The sequence below is a fragment of the Homo sapiens genome, chromosome 6, assembly GCF_000001405.40.
Source record: "Homo sapiens chromosome 6, GRCh38.p14 Primary Assembly".
Lineage (NCBI taxonomy): Eukaryota > Metazoa > Chordata > Mammalia > Primates > Hominidae > Homo > Homo sapiens.
This window is the reverse complement of record NC_000006.12, coordinates 140606691-140623508: the sequence shown is the minus strand read 5'-3', so window position 1 is coordinate 140623508 and position 16818 is coordinate 140606691. Positions and strand designations below refer to the sequence as shown.

At 33.8% G+C, this 16818-nt stretch overlaps 2 long non-coding RNA genes across 7 annotated transcripts in view; one reads left to right on the top strand and one right to left on the bottom strand.

Moving 5' to 3' along the window:
* Positions 1 to 15240, top strand: part of LOC105378026 (uncharacterized) — a 55690-nt gene extending 40450 nt beyond the window's left edge. For both annotated transcript variants that reach the window (XR_943070.3, XR_001744389.2), the window contains one exon: positions 12830 to 15240. This is a non-coding gene — a long non-coding RNA (uncharacterized LOC105378026). The remainder of the gene's footprint in view (positions 1 to 12829) is intronic.
* LOC105378027 (uncharacterized) overlaps positions 1 to 16818 on the bottom strand; it is a 246946-nt gene that overhangs the window by 161927 nt on the left and 68201 nt on the right. For all 5 annotated transcript variants that reach the window (XR_001744387.3, XR_001744385.2, XR_007059791.1 and 2 more), the window contains one exon: positions 13154 to 13412. This is a non-coding gene — a long non-coding RNA (uncharacterized LOC105378027). The remainder of the gene's footprint in view (positions 1 to 13153; positions 13413 to 16818) is intronic.

Here is a 16818-nt window from a genome sequence, read left to right as displayed (position 1 = left end):
TAACTGAAACTATGGATAAGTAGACACTACTGTATTTATGAAAGCAGACAAAGTGGGAAGTTTATAAATATTTGCTTCTTACTTTTACATGCCATAGAGAGCTATAACTGGGAGAAATTAATAAACTTGCAGTTTTGCCACTTTAATAAATTATAAAAAGGATGGATGAAGCTGGTGAAAGTCATTGTATATCTATTCTTAAGCTTTTCTAACCTGCTTAAAATGCTTAAGGACAATTTGCATTGTACCCTCCAGACTTTGTGAAATAGAAGTTAAGTTACTTTATTAAAATTTACAATTAATAGTGATTGAGGCTATTCTAGAATGAAGCAATAGTAATGGAAAAATACTAAAAATGTTTATGTAAGGTAATTTTTTTCAAGGAAAAAAAAAGAAGTTTTAACCCAAAATGAAGTCTTAATTATCTAGAATATGAATGAGTACAGTGAAGGACAAAACTTGAATGCTTTTAGCAAGTTGTAGAGGATTTAGGGGAAAGTAGTTTCTCATTTTCCTTGATTTATAATACTTAAGTCTGAAAAAGGCTATGAAATATGTTAAAATTTTGGAAAAATTGCTCCAATTACGGGCTAATTCACAAGATAATTATGTTATAAATTGGAGAGAGAAACTCATGAAACATTTATTGCAAGAAACTGTGTTCATCCAAATCTAGGTTTTGTCTTTTCCCTGTTAAAATAGTAAATTGGTCTTATAAATCTTAACAATGGCTAGTGAAAAGTATTCTTTATACTCTGTGTAACATGCTGGTATCATAGAGATTCCAAAACTCACCAGAATAATTTTCTCTGTTCTGTGGTGACTTTATCAGGTACTTGATTATTACATAACATTTTTAAAATAAAAAATTAAAAACCAAGGTTTCTCACTTGCATTAACATATTTATGTTTATTTTTAAATACTTTGTCACTTTGATTGAATATGTAACTAAGTCATCATTTCCTAGATGTCCATGAGCATATTTCATTATTGCAGTCAAATCTCCTGATATTCTTTTGCTTTTGCCTTTGCAAGAGCAGAACCAACAAATAAATAAATAAATAAATGAAAATTAATGATGTATTTTACCTCTACAGTCCTCTTTGAGCTATTCCAGAAAGCTGCAAAAAATCAAACATTTTTTATTTTACATTATAAAAATAAAAGTGGTAGAAATAATTCGACTTGTTTGGTATGCTCATTTTTGTTCATTATTATGTTGGTGCAAAAGTACCTGTGGCTTTTGCCATAACTTTTAATGGCAAAAACCACAATTACTTAATAGCTCAAGACTATTAAGAGCTGCATGGGAAGAGTTGTTGACCCAAAAAGATGCTCAGACTTTTCAAGATTAAGTTTGTATAGGTAAAATATTTTTAATACAAATATTTCAGATATTTTATGTTTTATAGAAAGGACCTGCCGATTCTTTTATGGTTGCACTGTCCATAATATTCTTACACTCAGGGCTGCTGGGCACGGTGGCTCACACCTGTAATACCAGCACTTTGGGAGGTCGAGGTGGGTAGATCACTTGAGGTCAGGAGTTCAAGACAGCCTAGCCAACATGGTGAAACCCCATCTCTACCAAAAATACAAAAATTATCCAGGTGTGGTGGCACATGCCTGTAATTCCAGCTACTAGGGAGGCTGAGGCAGGAGAATCACTTGAACCTGGGAGACAGAAATTGCAGTGGGCCGAGATCACGCCACTGCACTCCAGCCTGGGTGACAGAATGAGACTCCATTTCAAAAGAAAAAAAAAATGTGATTCACTGTAAAGTTTTACCAAACACTTATAGTATATATTTAATGGAATTGAACAAATAAATAAATGGATTGTAGATGACTGGAAGCAGATTTCTCACTGTTGGTGTAGGAGGCTACAGATAAGCAAGCAGAAGGCTAAAAGGATCCATGTGGTATTGGATTAGAATTGGAAAAAGCATTAGGAATGTAGATTATCTCAGTATAAATAAGGACAAACAGAAATATTTAAGTTATGTGTGTACATGTGAATATACACACACATATTTTCTTGCTCCGTCAACTGAGAGGGCAGAGAAGCAACACCAGTAGCTGTCAACATGCCTCGTGATCAAATCTTGGTTACTAATAACATTCACCAATTAAAAGAACTGAGATCCTTAGATAAATGGCTGACACTTGGACTAGGGCAATAAATATACAACATGGAGCAACTCGTAGTATCTAGAAGTCAGGAAGTCTTACACACACACACACACACACACACACACACATACACACACACACACACAAAAAGATGGGGCTATGTCAAAGAGACATGGAGGTTCCAATTGCCAAAGCTAGAACAATTTGGGCAGAAATAATGTAGTATTGGATTATAACTCAAAGAAGAAATTAAAGAACTGTAAGTCCATACTGATTATATTAGGCAGTTCTCATGTTGCTATAATGAGGTTACCTCAATTATACCTGAGGCTGGGTAATTTATAATGAAAATAGGTTTAATTGACTCATGGTTCTGCAGGCTGTACAAGCATGGTGATGGCATCTGTCCAGCATCTGGGGAGCCTGCAGGGAGCTTTTACTCAGGACAGAAGGTGAAGCAGGAGCAGGTATGTCACATGGCAGGTAAGAGTAGGAGCAATAGAGGAACAGATGGGAAGTGCCACACACTTTTAAACAACCAAATCTCACAAGAAATTATTCACTATCAAGAGGACAGCACCAAGCCAGGAGGTATCCACCCCAATGGCACAAACACCTCCCATAAGGCCCCACCTCCAACACTCGGGATCACATTTCAACATGAGATTTGGGAAAGACAAATATGCAAGGCATGCCACTGATATACATAATTGAACAAATAAATACATGGAGGAGAATAGATAAATCTGTCATGCAGAAAGATCCCAAATAATTTGTGCAGATGCTCTGCCCTCACAAAGGTTGAGGCATAGCTCATAACTTCCCACTCACTATTATTGGTTGCATATAATGACTTCCTCCCATGAATGCAGTATGGAATTAGAGAAGAGTAACTTTGCAATGAAAAAGCATAACAGACACTAACTCATCCAGGTGTTGAACCATTTTTATAGTATGCATTCATGATTTGATGTGATGAGGATGGCATGTTTCCTCTGTGATTTTTCTCACAAAACCCAATAACCCCAGTCTACCCATGACAAAAACATGGGATAAATCACAATCTAGGGAAATCCTACAAAATACTATCCCAATATGCCTCAAAACTCCCACAAAGTCATCAAAAATAGGAAAAGTCTGAGAAACTCTTACACGTAAGAGCATTCTAAGTAGACATGAGGACTAACTGTAATTTTTATATGGGATAGAATTCTGTACGAGCAAAAGAACACTGGATGACAAACCAGGAAATCTAAATAAAGTATGGACTTTATTTAATTCATAATAATGCATCACTATTGGTTCATGAATTATAACAAATGCACCAATCTAAAGTAAGATGTTAATAATAGGAGAAACTGAGTTCAGGGTGTATGGGAACTATCTGTATTATCTTCTCAATTTTGCTATAAATCTAAAATTGTTGCAAAATGAAAAGTCTATTTTAAAAAACTGATAGGACTCAAAAAAGAAATGAACAAATCCTCAATAATAGTTATAGAGTTCAGTGCCCCTTTTTTGCTGATTGATAAAATAGATGGACATAAATTCATCTAGATTAAAGAAGAACTGAACCACTCCATCAATCAGCAGTATTTAATCAACATTTATAGAAGACTCACCACCAACAGCAGAATAGATATTTTCTTCAAGCATCCCTAGAGCATATACCAAGACAGGCCATATTCTGGGGCTTAAAATAATCCTCAAACATTTTAAAATATTTGAAATTATACAGAAGTGTTCGTTGATCACAATGGAATATATTACAGATTTGGATATTAAATAATATATTTCTAAACAATCCCATTGGGTAATATGAAATCTCAAGGGCAATTAAAAATATATTGAACTGACTAAAAATCAAAACTGGGCATAAAATTATTGTCTGAACAGCTAACACAATTTTGAGGGGGGGTAGTTTTTGGCACTAAACACTTATATCAGAAAGAAGGAAAAGCAATAATGTAATCCTACATCACAAGAATCTAGAGTAAGAAGAGCAAAATAAATGCAAAACAAGCAGAAAGAAATAATAAAGATAAAAGCAGAAATAAATGAAACTGAAAACAAAAAATAGATAAAATCAAATTAAAAATCTTGTTGTTTGAACAGATCAATACAATTGACAAATCCATAGCTAAACTGACAAAGAGAAGACACAATTACCAACATGAAAAATAAAAAACCTAGCATCATTACCCAATATTCAGGCATCAAAAGGATAATAAGGGATATATGAACACATCAACACGCACAAATTTGACAACTTAGATGAATTGGACCAGTTCCTTAAAATGCAAAAGCTATAATTTACCCATATGAAAAAAATAAGTGAATAGCCTTATAAGTTATTAAATAAATTGAATTCATAATTTTAAAATGCCCCAAAAGAAATTTCCAGGTCCAGGTGGTTTCAGGAGATAATTGTACCAACTGCTTGACATTTGAACATTTAAAGAAGAATAAAACAAATTCTACAGAATCTATTCTGGAAAATAGAAAAGGAATCATTTCCCAATTCATTTTATGAAGCAAATATAACTCTGAGCCCAAACTATACAAAGGCAGTGCAAAAAGACCAAACTACAGACTAATATCCTTCATGAATACATACACAAAAGTTATTAACTTTATTTTCACTAACAGAAACAGAAATCAAAAAAAAATATATATATATATATATATATATATATACCATGATCAAATGTGGTTTCTTCCAGAAATTAAAACCTATTTCAATATTAGAAAATAAATCAATATAATCTATTATATTAGCAGGAAAATGAATAAATCAATTGACATGGAAAAGAATTTGACAAAATTCACTACTTATTCATGATAAGAATGTTTAGAAAATCAAGAATATTTTAAAAATTATTCTTCAACTTAATAATAACATCTTCAAAATGCCTACAGAAAAGAATTATTTAATGATTAGAGACTGAATGCTTTTTCCCTAAGACTGGAAAGGAACAAAGGATGTGCTCTCATTACCCCTACTGAGCATAGTACCGGATGTTCTATTTAGTTCTATCTTGCAAAAAGGCAATAAAGTAAAATTAAAGGCACAAAAACCTCAAAAACAGAAATAAACTCTATTTTAGGATGACATGACAGTTCACATAGAAAATCCCAAGAAATCTAAAAAAGACAAACGAGAATTACTGGAAATAATAATTAAGTTCAGCAAAGCCTCAGGATACAGCATCAATGCACAAAAAAGTTTCAATATACTAGCAATGAACATGTGGACACCAAAATTAGAAATACAGTATCATTTACCACAGCCAAAAAAGTGAAGCTGGGTGCAGTGGCTCATGCCTGTAATCCCAACAACTCAAGGAGGCTGGGATGGGAGGATCGTTGAGCCCAGGGGCTCCAGACTGCAGTGAGCTGTGATCATGGCATTGTACCCCAGCCAGGGCAAAAGACTGAGACTCCATCTCTAAAAAAAAATAAAGAATAAAAATTTTAAGTGAAATATTCAGGCATAAACCTACATAACTTCTATGCCAAAAGCTACAAAATGTTAATGAGAAAATGAAAGAATATCTAAGTAAATAAATCAAGAGATGCCCGCTGGGTTCCAGGCTTAGAAGACAATGTAATAAAAAGCAAAAATAGTGTGGGACTACATCAAACTAAAAGGCTTCTGCACATTGAGGTGGTATATACATATATACACACACATATATAATGTATATGTGTATATGTATATATAATAAATATAATGTATATATGTATATGTGTATATTATATATAATATATATATGCACATTATATATACATAGATATACAATAGAATATATCCAGCTTTAAAAAAGAGGAAATTCTCAATACTTGATAACCTCGTTGAACCTGGAGGACATTATGGTAAGTGAAATAGGCCAGTCACAGAAGGACATATGCTGCATGATTCCACTTAGTGTATTAGTCTGTTCTCATGCTGCTAATAAAGACATACCTGAGACTGGGTAATTTATAAAGCAAAAGAGGTTTAATGGACTCCCAGTTCCACATGGCTGGGGAGGCCTCACAATCATGGTGGAAGGCAAAGGAGGAATAAGTCATGTTTTACATGGCATCAGGCAGAAGAGCATGTGTAGGGGAACTCTTCCTTTATAAAACCATTAGATCTCGTAAGACTTATTCATGATCACAAGAACAGCACAGAAGAAAGCATGCCCTCATGATTCAATTACCTCCCCTTGGGTCTCTCCCATGATACGTAAGAATTATGGGAGCTACAATTCAAGGTGAGATTTGGGTGGGGACACAGCCAAACCATATCAGTGAGGTTTCTAAAATAATCAAATTTACAGAACCAAAGAGTGGAATGAAGGTTGCCAAGGCCTTGTGGAAGGGGGAAATAGGGAGTTGCTAAATGAAGGGGCAGAAATTTTCAGTTAAGCAAGATGAATAGTTCCTAGAGGTCTGCTGTACAATACTGTGCCTATAGTTAACAATAAGATACTGTACACTAAAAATTTTGTTAAGAGGGTATATCCCACAGTAAGTGTTCCTAGGAAAACAAAATAAAATTTTAAAAAATGTTAATTATCCCCAAATTGGCATACGGATTTAACAAACTTCCATATTTTGTTGTAGTTGCCAATAAGATTATTCAAAAATGTTTAAAAAGCCAAAATAATTAGATTTTCTAAAAACAATTTTCAAATCGTATAAAATGAGAGGAATCTGTCTATCTAGTTTCAAGTTTCATTATGTAGGTACAGTAATCAAACCTGTGTGATCTTGTGTGTATTGATAATTACAGTAATCAGTTCTGGTGGAATAATAGGCACATAGATCAGTGGAATATAAAACAGAACCCAGAAATAGACCCCAAAAAATATATCCAACTGAATTTTGACACAAATCACAAAGCAATTCAATGGAGGTAGGGTAGGCTTGTCAACAAATTATGTTAGAATAATTGGGCATCCATAAGCAAAATAAAATAAAATAAACCTCAATCCAAACCTCATGTCTTATGCAAAAGTTAACTCAAAATGAATCAAAAACTTCAATGTAAAACATAAAAGTAGCATATTTTTAGAAAAAATAACTTCATATCTTATGCAAAAGTTAACTCGACATGAATCAAAAACTTCAATGTAAAACGTAAAAGTAGCACATTTTTAGAAAAAACAATTACAGGAGAAAATCTTTATGATCTATATATGGACAAATGAATATTGATACCAAAAGCACAAATCATAAAAGGAAAAATAATAAATTGGATGTTATTAAACACTTTTGCTCTGAAAAAAGGCACTCTTAAGAGCTAAAAAGACAATCTATGTACTGGGTAGAAAATATCTGCAAGCATATATCCAACAAGGGACTACGATAAAGAATATGTAAACAACTCTTAAAACTCAACAGCAGAAAATAAGCAATCCAACTAGAAACTGGTCAACACAAATGAATGAATATTTTATTGAAGAGGACATACAAATGGCAAAAACTACATAAAATATATTCAGCACCATTATCCATTAGGAAAATGGAAATTAAAAATTAAAAATATAACCATGTATTAGTTTATGCCCACCAGAATTTCTCAAGTGAAATATAATGATAACACCAAATGACTGTGACGATTCAGAGAAACTGCATCACAGTTTAGCAATATCTTAATAAACCACATATTCAACTACCTATGACCCAGCAATTGCACACCTAGTCATTTATCCCAGAGAAATGAAAACATGTTCACACAAAGCCTGTACACAAATATGTTTATAGCAACTCTATTCATAATAATCCCAAAATGAGAATAACTCAGGTTGATTCAACAAGTGAAAAAAAGTTAAACAGACTGTGGTACATTCATGCCATGGAATACTGTTCAGTCATAAAAAGAAATAAACTATAGGTATACGCAATGACTTGGATGCATCTCCAGAGAATTATACTTCGTCAAAAAAAAATTGAAAATTATATATGTATGCTTATTTTTGTATAGCATTCTTGAAATGACAAAATTATAGAAACAGGTAACAGATTAGTGGCCTCTGATGTTAAGCGGGGAATGGACATGGTAGAGAAATGATTATGGCTATAAAAAGGCAACATGAGAGACAATTTGGGTAATGAAAAAGTTACGTGTCTTGACTTTATCAATGTCAAAATTCTGACTGCGATATTGTAATATAGGTTGTCAAGATACTACTATTTAAGAGAAATTGGGAAAAGAATGTGCAGAATTTTTCTGTATTATTTCCTACAATAGCATGTGAATCTACCATTATCTCAAAATTTAAAAACGATTAAAAATAAAGATATCATATGCAAGAAGCAATGATAAAATGATCTGTTGTAAATATTGAATATTGAGATAACTAAACCACTGGGGAATTATGTTTACAGAACACACAATTGATATTACATACTTTAGCAAAGCAGTAATGATCTATGCAACAGAATGAAAAAATAAGATGAAGAAAAAAGATAACAGTGGCAATCAAACTATTTCTTATAATATTTAATAAATGTCAAAGTAATTAAAATCTTACTATTAAAACAATTAAGAAACTAAATCAATCTTTTTTCTTAGTATTAAAGGGCCTTTTACAAATTGTCTTTTGAGGTGGAAAGCAATAGTATGAATTTCTGATCCTCTTCAGCTTCACTTCAGAATGTTTTTTGTTATTAATTTGAGTAAAATTAAATTAAATATTTTATTAAATAGCATTATAGTGTAATTATCATTATTATAAAATCTCTATGTGTATATAAAGCACATTTTAGAATGATGTTAATAAAAATTAAACTAGATTATTGGTAGATGATTTAATTTTGAATTATAGTTATTAATTTATTCATTTATTTATGTATTTGATTTCTCTTTAATAGTTTTATGTAAGCATCATTTGAAATTTAGACACTGGATATTTTCATTAAAATAATATTCAAAATAAATTAAAGGAGGCAATTCTGTTACTTGTTATTTACACTTATTAGATGAATTGAAGTAGAAGGATGATGTTAGCATAGGAATCTTGTCTTTCTCTTTCCTTTCTATCATGAATAGGTTCCATTAAATCAATACAATATCGACAGTCAAAGAAACATATCCCAAATATTAGCATTTTACCATATTTTACCATAATTTTGCTATCCAGGAGACACACCAAGCATGCCACCAAGTCTCACTGAAGTAGATTTTTTCATATACACAAATAAATAAACATAAAGTTACAATCACATTTTAGAGTAATTCATACTTTCAAATTTTCTTTTTCTTTTCTTTTTTCTTTTTTTTTTTGAGACAAGAGTCTTCCTTACACCTTAGGCAAAAATTAATTCAAGATGGATTAAAGACTTACATGTTAGACCTAAAACCATAAAAACCCTAGAAGAAAACCTAGGCAATACCATTCAGGACATAGGCATGGGCAAGGACTTCATGTCTAAAACACAAAAAGCAATGGCAACAAAAGCCAAAATTGACAAATGGGATCTAACTAAACTAAAGAGCTTCTGCACAGCAAAAGAAACTACCATCAGAGTCAACAGGCAACCTACAGAATGGGAGAAAATTTTTGCAAACCTACTCATCTGACAAAGGGCTAATATCCAGAATCTACAATGAACACAAACAAATCTACAAGAAAAAAAACAAACAACCCCATCAAAAAGTGGTCAAAGGGTATGAACAGACACTTCTCAAAAGAAGACATTTATGCAGCCAAAAAACACATGAAAAAATGCTCATCATCACTGGCCATCAGAGAAATGCAAATCAAAACCACAATGAGAAACCATCTCACACCAGTTAGAATGGCAATCATTAAAAAGTCAGGAAACAACAGGTGCTGGAGAGGATGTGGAGAAATAGGAACACTTTGACACTGTTGGTGGGACTGTAAACTAGTTCAATCATTGTGGAAGTCAGTGTGGCAATTCCTCAGGGATCTGGAACTAGAAATACCATTTGACCCAGCCATCCCATTACTGGGTATATACCCAAAGGATTATAAATCATGCTGCTATAAAGACTCGTGCACACATATGTTTACTGCGGCACTATTCACAATAGCAAAGACTTGGAACCAACCCAAATGTCCAACAATGATAGACTGGATTAAGAAAATGTGGCACATATACACTATGGAATACTATGCAGCCATAAAAAACGATGAGTTCGTGTCCTTTGTAGGGACATGGATGAAGCTGGAAACCATCATTCTCAGCAAAGTATTGCAAGGACAAAAAACCACACACCGTGTGTTCTCACTCATAGGTGGGAACTGAACAATGACAACACGTGGACACAGGAAGGGGAACATCACACACCAGGGACTGCTGTGGGGTGGGGGGAGGGGGGAGCGATAGCATTAGGAGATACACCTAATGCTAAATGACGAGTTAATGGGTGCAGCACACCAACATGGCACATGTATACATATGTAAAAAAAACCTGCACGTTGTGCACATGTACCCTAAAACTTAAAGTATAATAATAATAAAATTAAAAAAAAAAAAAAGAGTCTGGCTCTGTTGCCCAGGCTGGAGTGCAATGGCACGATCTCGGCTCACTGCAACATTTGCCTACCCAGTTCAAGCAATTCTCATGGCTCAGGCTCCTGAGTAGCTGGGATTACAGGCATGCATCACCACACCTGGCTAATTTTTGTATTTTTAGTAGAGACGGGGTTTCTACTAAAACCCCAGGCTGGTCTCAAACTGTTGGCCTCAAGTGATCTGCCCACCTCCACTTCCCAAAGTGCTGGGATCATAGGTGGGAGCCACCACCATGCCAGGCCTTCAAATTTTCCTTACAGTGAAAGTTCTTACATTGTGCGTTGGCTTTCATCAGGTTCCCCTGAGATATGCCCCTATAGGGAATAAAATGTTACACAATGAAAAAATATTTTGCATAGAAATTTTCCAATTGAGATAAATATTACTCAATAAATCATATCACATGTTTACCATAAATATATATGGAAGTGATATTTTTTAGGAGGAGGTATTTTCCTAAAATAATAATAATGACAAATATAGAATATTTGATTATTGTTTCTTAGTTCTTTTAGGCAAAACTGTTGGCTCTATCTAGTTCCTAAGTAAATATTTATTTTTAAGTCCAAGGCTTTTAAAAAGATCATCTTTATATTTAAGCTATTAAAACAATATTTAATAGCTTATAAAGGTTATTTATTAACAGGACAGTTACTGTTTCTACTTTATCATTCTTTGCAATTCATCTACCAGTGGTTTAACGTAGGTTCTCATACTACAATTTTGAAAGATTTTAATGAAAATCTATTACTTTGTAAATAAATTTTACTTTTATTATACCTACATAGTGTGGAATTGGTGTTTGTTTATATTTCTTGAAGATTTCAAAGTGTAATTAATATTCCAAATATGGAGATTATAGTATATATAGTACAATGGAGAGGGCAGAAAAATCGGGGGGTTGTAGTACCAATTTATTTGATAATTGTGTTTCCTTGATTACTTTAACTCCTGATGTTTTCATTGCCTTAGTTTTAACAAGGAGATACTATATCCTCCTTACAGTGATATGTGATTTAAGAAACAATGGAAATGCTTGTAAAAACACTTAAATTCAATGTTTGTAGAATAATATATTCAATATTACTTTTCATGATCAAAAGTCTCTGCCACTGGCAACAAGGATATTTTATAAATTAAAAATAATATGATTCTACACATTTTTTCCCTTCATTGTTGGTAATATTGCTGCTTTCAAAGTAGTTTTCCTGTTTAAGACAGGATCAGACATTTGAATATATCAATTTGATATTGATATAACTTCTTTCATGTATAAATAAGTTCAGTATTTCACAGCCAGAAATGCAATTTTTTAATAAAACATAATATTTGCCTGGTTATTTTCCACTTTATTTCCTAATCTATCTAAACTCTGAACAAACTTTAAAAAGCTTGCAGGTGTAGCAACAGGAAGGTGTGATTTTATCATGTTTAGAATTAAATTGTTGTATCAATTAAGAGGAAATGAACAATGAAGTTGAAATGAAACTCATTCTTAATTACCAAATCTTTTAAAATTTACATAAAAGTATACTCATCTAAAGTCATTAGTTCAGTGATCAGTTTCTATATTTTTTGTTTAATTTCACCTGGGAAAGGAGTGAAAGTAAAAATTAGTCTATGCGCAATTCTACAGTTGAGTTCAAAGAAGAAAGAACAGTAAATTATTCATAGTGCGAAAAAAGAGTTTCTGTTAGGAAAAAAAATCATTAAGTTTCTGAATCTCTAGTACCTACATAGTAATAAATAACATTCAACTCCAAGGACAGCTCTTACCTGAGACGTGCCATGGCATCTTTTAGGGTATAGAACATCTGCTGCTTAAGCCATTCATTTAAGGAGAGTGAGGGGATTCTCAATAATACGCTGAATAGACTGATACCATCTCTTGCACACTTAACCATCATTATCAGAAGAAATCCAGTAAAAATTAGCTTTATGTTAGGAGGTAAAAATCACTATGACTCAAAGTCTAACATATTCCACAATAAATATTTTTAAATGGCATTAAAGTTCCTGAAGGAAGAATTTTAAAATTCTGGTATCTACAGATCTATTTGATTATACTGTTTTTTGCTCCTCTGAGCTAATACAGCACTTTTACTTTACCCCGCCTATATTAACAACGAAAATGTAATTGAACTATCTTTACAATTTCAGATTCTCACCTAAGTGCTGAAACGACCTCATAGCACAAAGGGGAGACAGAAATTTTAAAAGGTAATTATGAAACATAAAACAGATGCTAAAATGAATAGATGGGCATAGACCTGTGGGACTGCAAAGCAAAACAAATTATTAAGGGTTTGATGGTCAGTGTTATCTAAACATTGTGTAAACTTTTAAATGTTTATGAATCCCATCTCAGAGGTGTAACTAATATTTGTTTGTGTGTGTGTGTGTGTGTGTGATACACTGAGCAACTGTATACCACCTAGCAAGTGGCATTCTTGCTTAGCGACTTACACTGGCCTGTTTACTCACCCTGCTGTAAAGATCTTCATTGTCCTTTCCGAAGGATGTATTTCTTCCTTACTCTACCCATGGTCAGTATATAACCTTCTGGTAGTTCAAGCTGTCTGCAGCAAAATCCTCTAAGGAAAGATGGCTGTCTAACTCTTTTCTTCAGTCTTTGAGGTATTACACAGCTCTCAGCTCTCTGTGGGCCCTTTATCCGGAAGGCAGTCTTGGCTCCAAAGCAGGCAACATTCTTGTATCTGTGCACTGCAATTCTAGTCTGCCCCTGTAAGTAAAAACACATTTATACTCTTTTTCTTATATGGATAATTCTTCTCCAAAAGTATATAACACCCCAATTGTTCTTTGGTTCACTTTTATTTCTGCTCAATGAGCACAGGAGAGTAACTTAAGATCACAGTCTCATTTGTAACCAAAGAAAGGACCTCTCGTCTCACAAGGTCATGGTAAAGAAAGAACAAGACGATTAAATGGAACTTATTGTAAAATTATATTATAGTCCAAAAGGGAAAATATGGAGTGATTTATTAGTAATCTTCTCACCCAAAGTTTAGAAAAAGCACTTTAGTATTAGTGGCAAATACTTTTATATTAAATATAGCCATGCATATTTTATGGAATGTTGTTATCAGCAGATTAGAAAATACAATATAAAAACATGACAAAGATATCCATTCTAAATTAATGTGGAAGAAAGAAATAAAATGAACTATTTGAATATGACAAGGCAGCCCACAGGGTTTTCTGTGTGACACCTTTAGAAATCTTCACAAGGAAAATCATGGCAAGTTTAAGAGCACTGCAGTGTAAAAAGAAAAAACAAAGACCAGTCACAAAAGAAAATCGAAGTCATATTACACTAACAATAGCTAAATAAAGCTAAGTCCAGTGTTTAAAACTTACAAAGCCATGAGAGAGGCAAGAACTAGCCTCAGTAAAATACAGATGCTGCACGTCTGCTGAAAATTGGATAGAAGCATATTTACTCCACTGTTTTCTGTGGAATGTACTGAAAACAATAAAAGTAACAGAACCTACGTTTTTTAAAATAATGAAACATATAAAAGATTTTCTTAAAAAGGTCAAAATATGAATAACCCTGTTTTGGAATATAAAGTCTCAATATTCTGAAGATGTCAATAAACTATTTTTAACTTCAATGCATTTATCATAAAATTTTAACAAATGTGTCACTCTCTTTGTAAGTGATTCTAGCATTTCATCTGGACAACTAAACAGGTGAGAAAAACAAAAAAAAAATCTAAAAGGGAAGATGATTAAGGCAGACATTACCAGTTGTAAAATAAATTTGCATTATTAAAAATTATATAATATAGGTAAGCACATTTATATATTCCTAGTTAGGAGTATAAATCAAGATATTTCAAAAAGTAGAGTCACCAGATTTTATGGGAACTTACTGTCTACTAAAGATGGCATTCCAGTCAATGGAGAAAATATGAATTAATTGTTATAGTAATAGAAAAACTGAGTAGCCAGAAAACAATATAAATTTTCTTAGAGCAAATATCATTTGAGCTGGATGACTGAATTACATGTATAAAGCAAAACATGATAATGTGAAAACAAGCTAACAGATAAAGTTGCTCCAGAGGTAAATGGACGTATCGCTTTGAACAAAAAGTAAAATCCTGATTTATAAATGTAATTAATGTATCTGTTAAAATTCTTTGTGTTATACACATTAGAAACTTGACTAACCAAAACAAGATAATAATTGGTGATAAATAATTTAATTGAAGGAAAAGCTAAGAAGGCAAGAGGACAACCTAAAAATGTTCAGGGTACATTTACATGACTCAGCTGCAACAGTTTCCAAATTTGATAATTTAAATTTCACAATTTCAGAAGAGAAAATCTAACGACCCAGTCTCAGTGAAGTGCCTTTGAATAAAAAGTTCACTGTGGTGGAAATGGGGTCCTCTGGCTACTGATAGCGTGTCCCATTTGCTGATGTGATATCCCTGGACACATATGTTTGTAAGCCAGGATTAGCCTTGGATTCTAGAACAAGTTTTAAATAAACAGCATCACAATAAATGTAATTGAAAAGTCAAAAAACAAATATAAAAGAAGGGGGGAACATTGTACAACACATATGATAAAGACTACATTTCCACTTTTAAAAGAGAATAATAAAAAATGAATTAAAATGGAAAAAAAAAAAAAAAAAAAGGCCGGCGCAGTGACTCACGCCTGTAATCCCAGCACTTTGGGAGGCCGAGGTGGGTGGATCACCTAAGGTCAGGAATTCGAGACCAGCCTGACCAACATGGTAAACCCCCATCTCTATTAAAAATACAAAATTAGCCAGGCGTGGTGGCACAGGCCTGTAGTCCTAGCTCCTCAGGAGGCTGAGGCAGGAGAACCGCTTGAACCCGGGAGGCAGAGGTTGCAGTGAGCCGAGATCGAGCCACTGCACTCCAGCCTGGGTGACAGAGTGAAACCACGTATCAAAAACAAACAAACAAACAAAAAAACAAAAACAAGCCATGAGAGAATGAATATCGAAATCAGTAAGGGTGGAGATTCTAAAGAGGGCAGCTCAGATACAGACCTCAGCTCTACTCCAGTGTACCTGTGAACTGGAGCAAGTTTCTTTTCCTCTGGCGTGTTTCCTCACCAGAGGAATAGGGATAAAAATGGCACACAACTCATGTTTTTTTTGTAGATTAGATGAATCAATTCAAGCAAAATATTTACTTCAGAATCCAGAATGGAGCAAGCACTCAATAATAGGTTTACTTGTTTTGATAAATATTATTATTAACCCCTTAGGAAGGGACAACTTATTATGTACATAAAAGTTTAGAGGTGGCTGGGCGCGGAGGCTCACGCCTGTAATCCCAGCACTTTGAGAGGCCGAGGTGGGCGGATCACTTGAGGTCAGGAGTTCAAAACCAGCCTGACCAACATAGTGAAACCCCGTCTGTACTAAAAATAGAAAAAAATTAGCCAGGCTTGGTGGTGGGCACCTGTAATCCCAGCTACTCGGGACACTGAGGCAGGAGAATCGCTTGAACCCGGTAGGTGGAGGTTGCAGTGAGTCAAGATTGCGCCATTGCACTCTAGCCTGGGTGACAGAGCAAGGATCCATCTCAAAGAAAAAAGAAATGTTTAGAGGTGAAGAATATATACAGTCAGTAAACTTACGGGGAAAAAAACAAAACAAAACAAAACTTCATTGATATTTAAAGTGATGCAATTTTAAACAATTAGAGAAGTCTCATTCTGCTTATTAGATTGCTAAAAATTAAACAATACCAACTATCGCTGAGAGTTTTCATTTGACCCTAAATCGCTACAAACTTTTTAAAGGCAATTATTATAATAATAACTCCAAAAGTAAGATGCACGCAAAACCGTATCAGTGACAGAGATATGTTGCCTTAGGATCAGAAGCACACCCCACCAGCACCCTGGACTACCTGCTCTTTGCTTTGTCAGTAGGCTTACATTGTGCTTGTCCAAGGCTGCTGTTTTCTGTTTTCTTTTCTTTTTCTTTTTTTTTTTTTTTTTTTTGAGACGAAGTTTCGCTCTTGTTGCCCAGGCTGGAGTGCAATGGTGTGATCTCGGCTCACTGCAACCTCGGCCTCCCAGTTCAAGCAATTCTCCTGCCGAAGCTCCTGGGGCAGGTGGGGGGTGCCTGT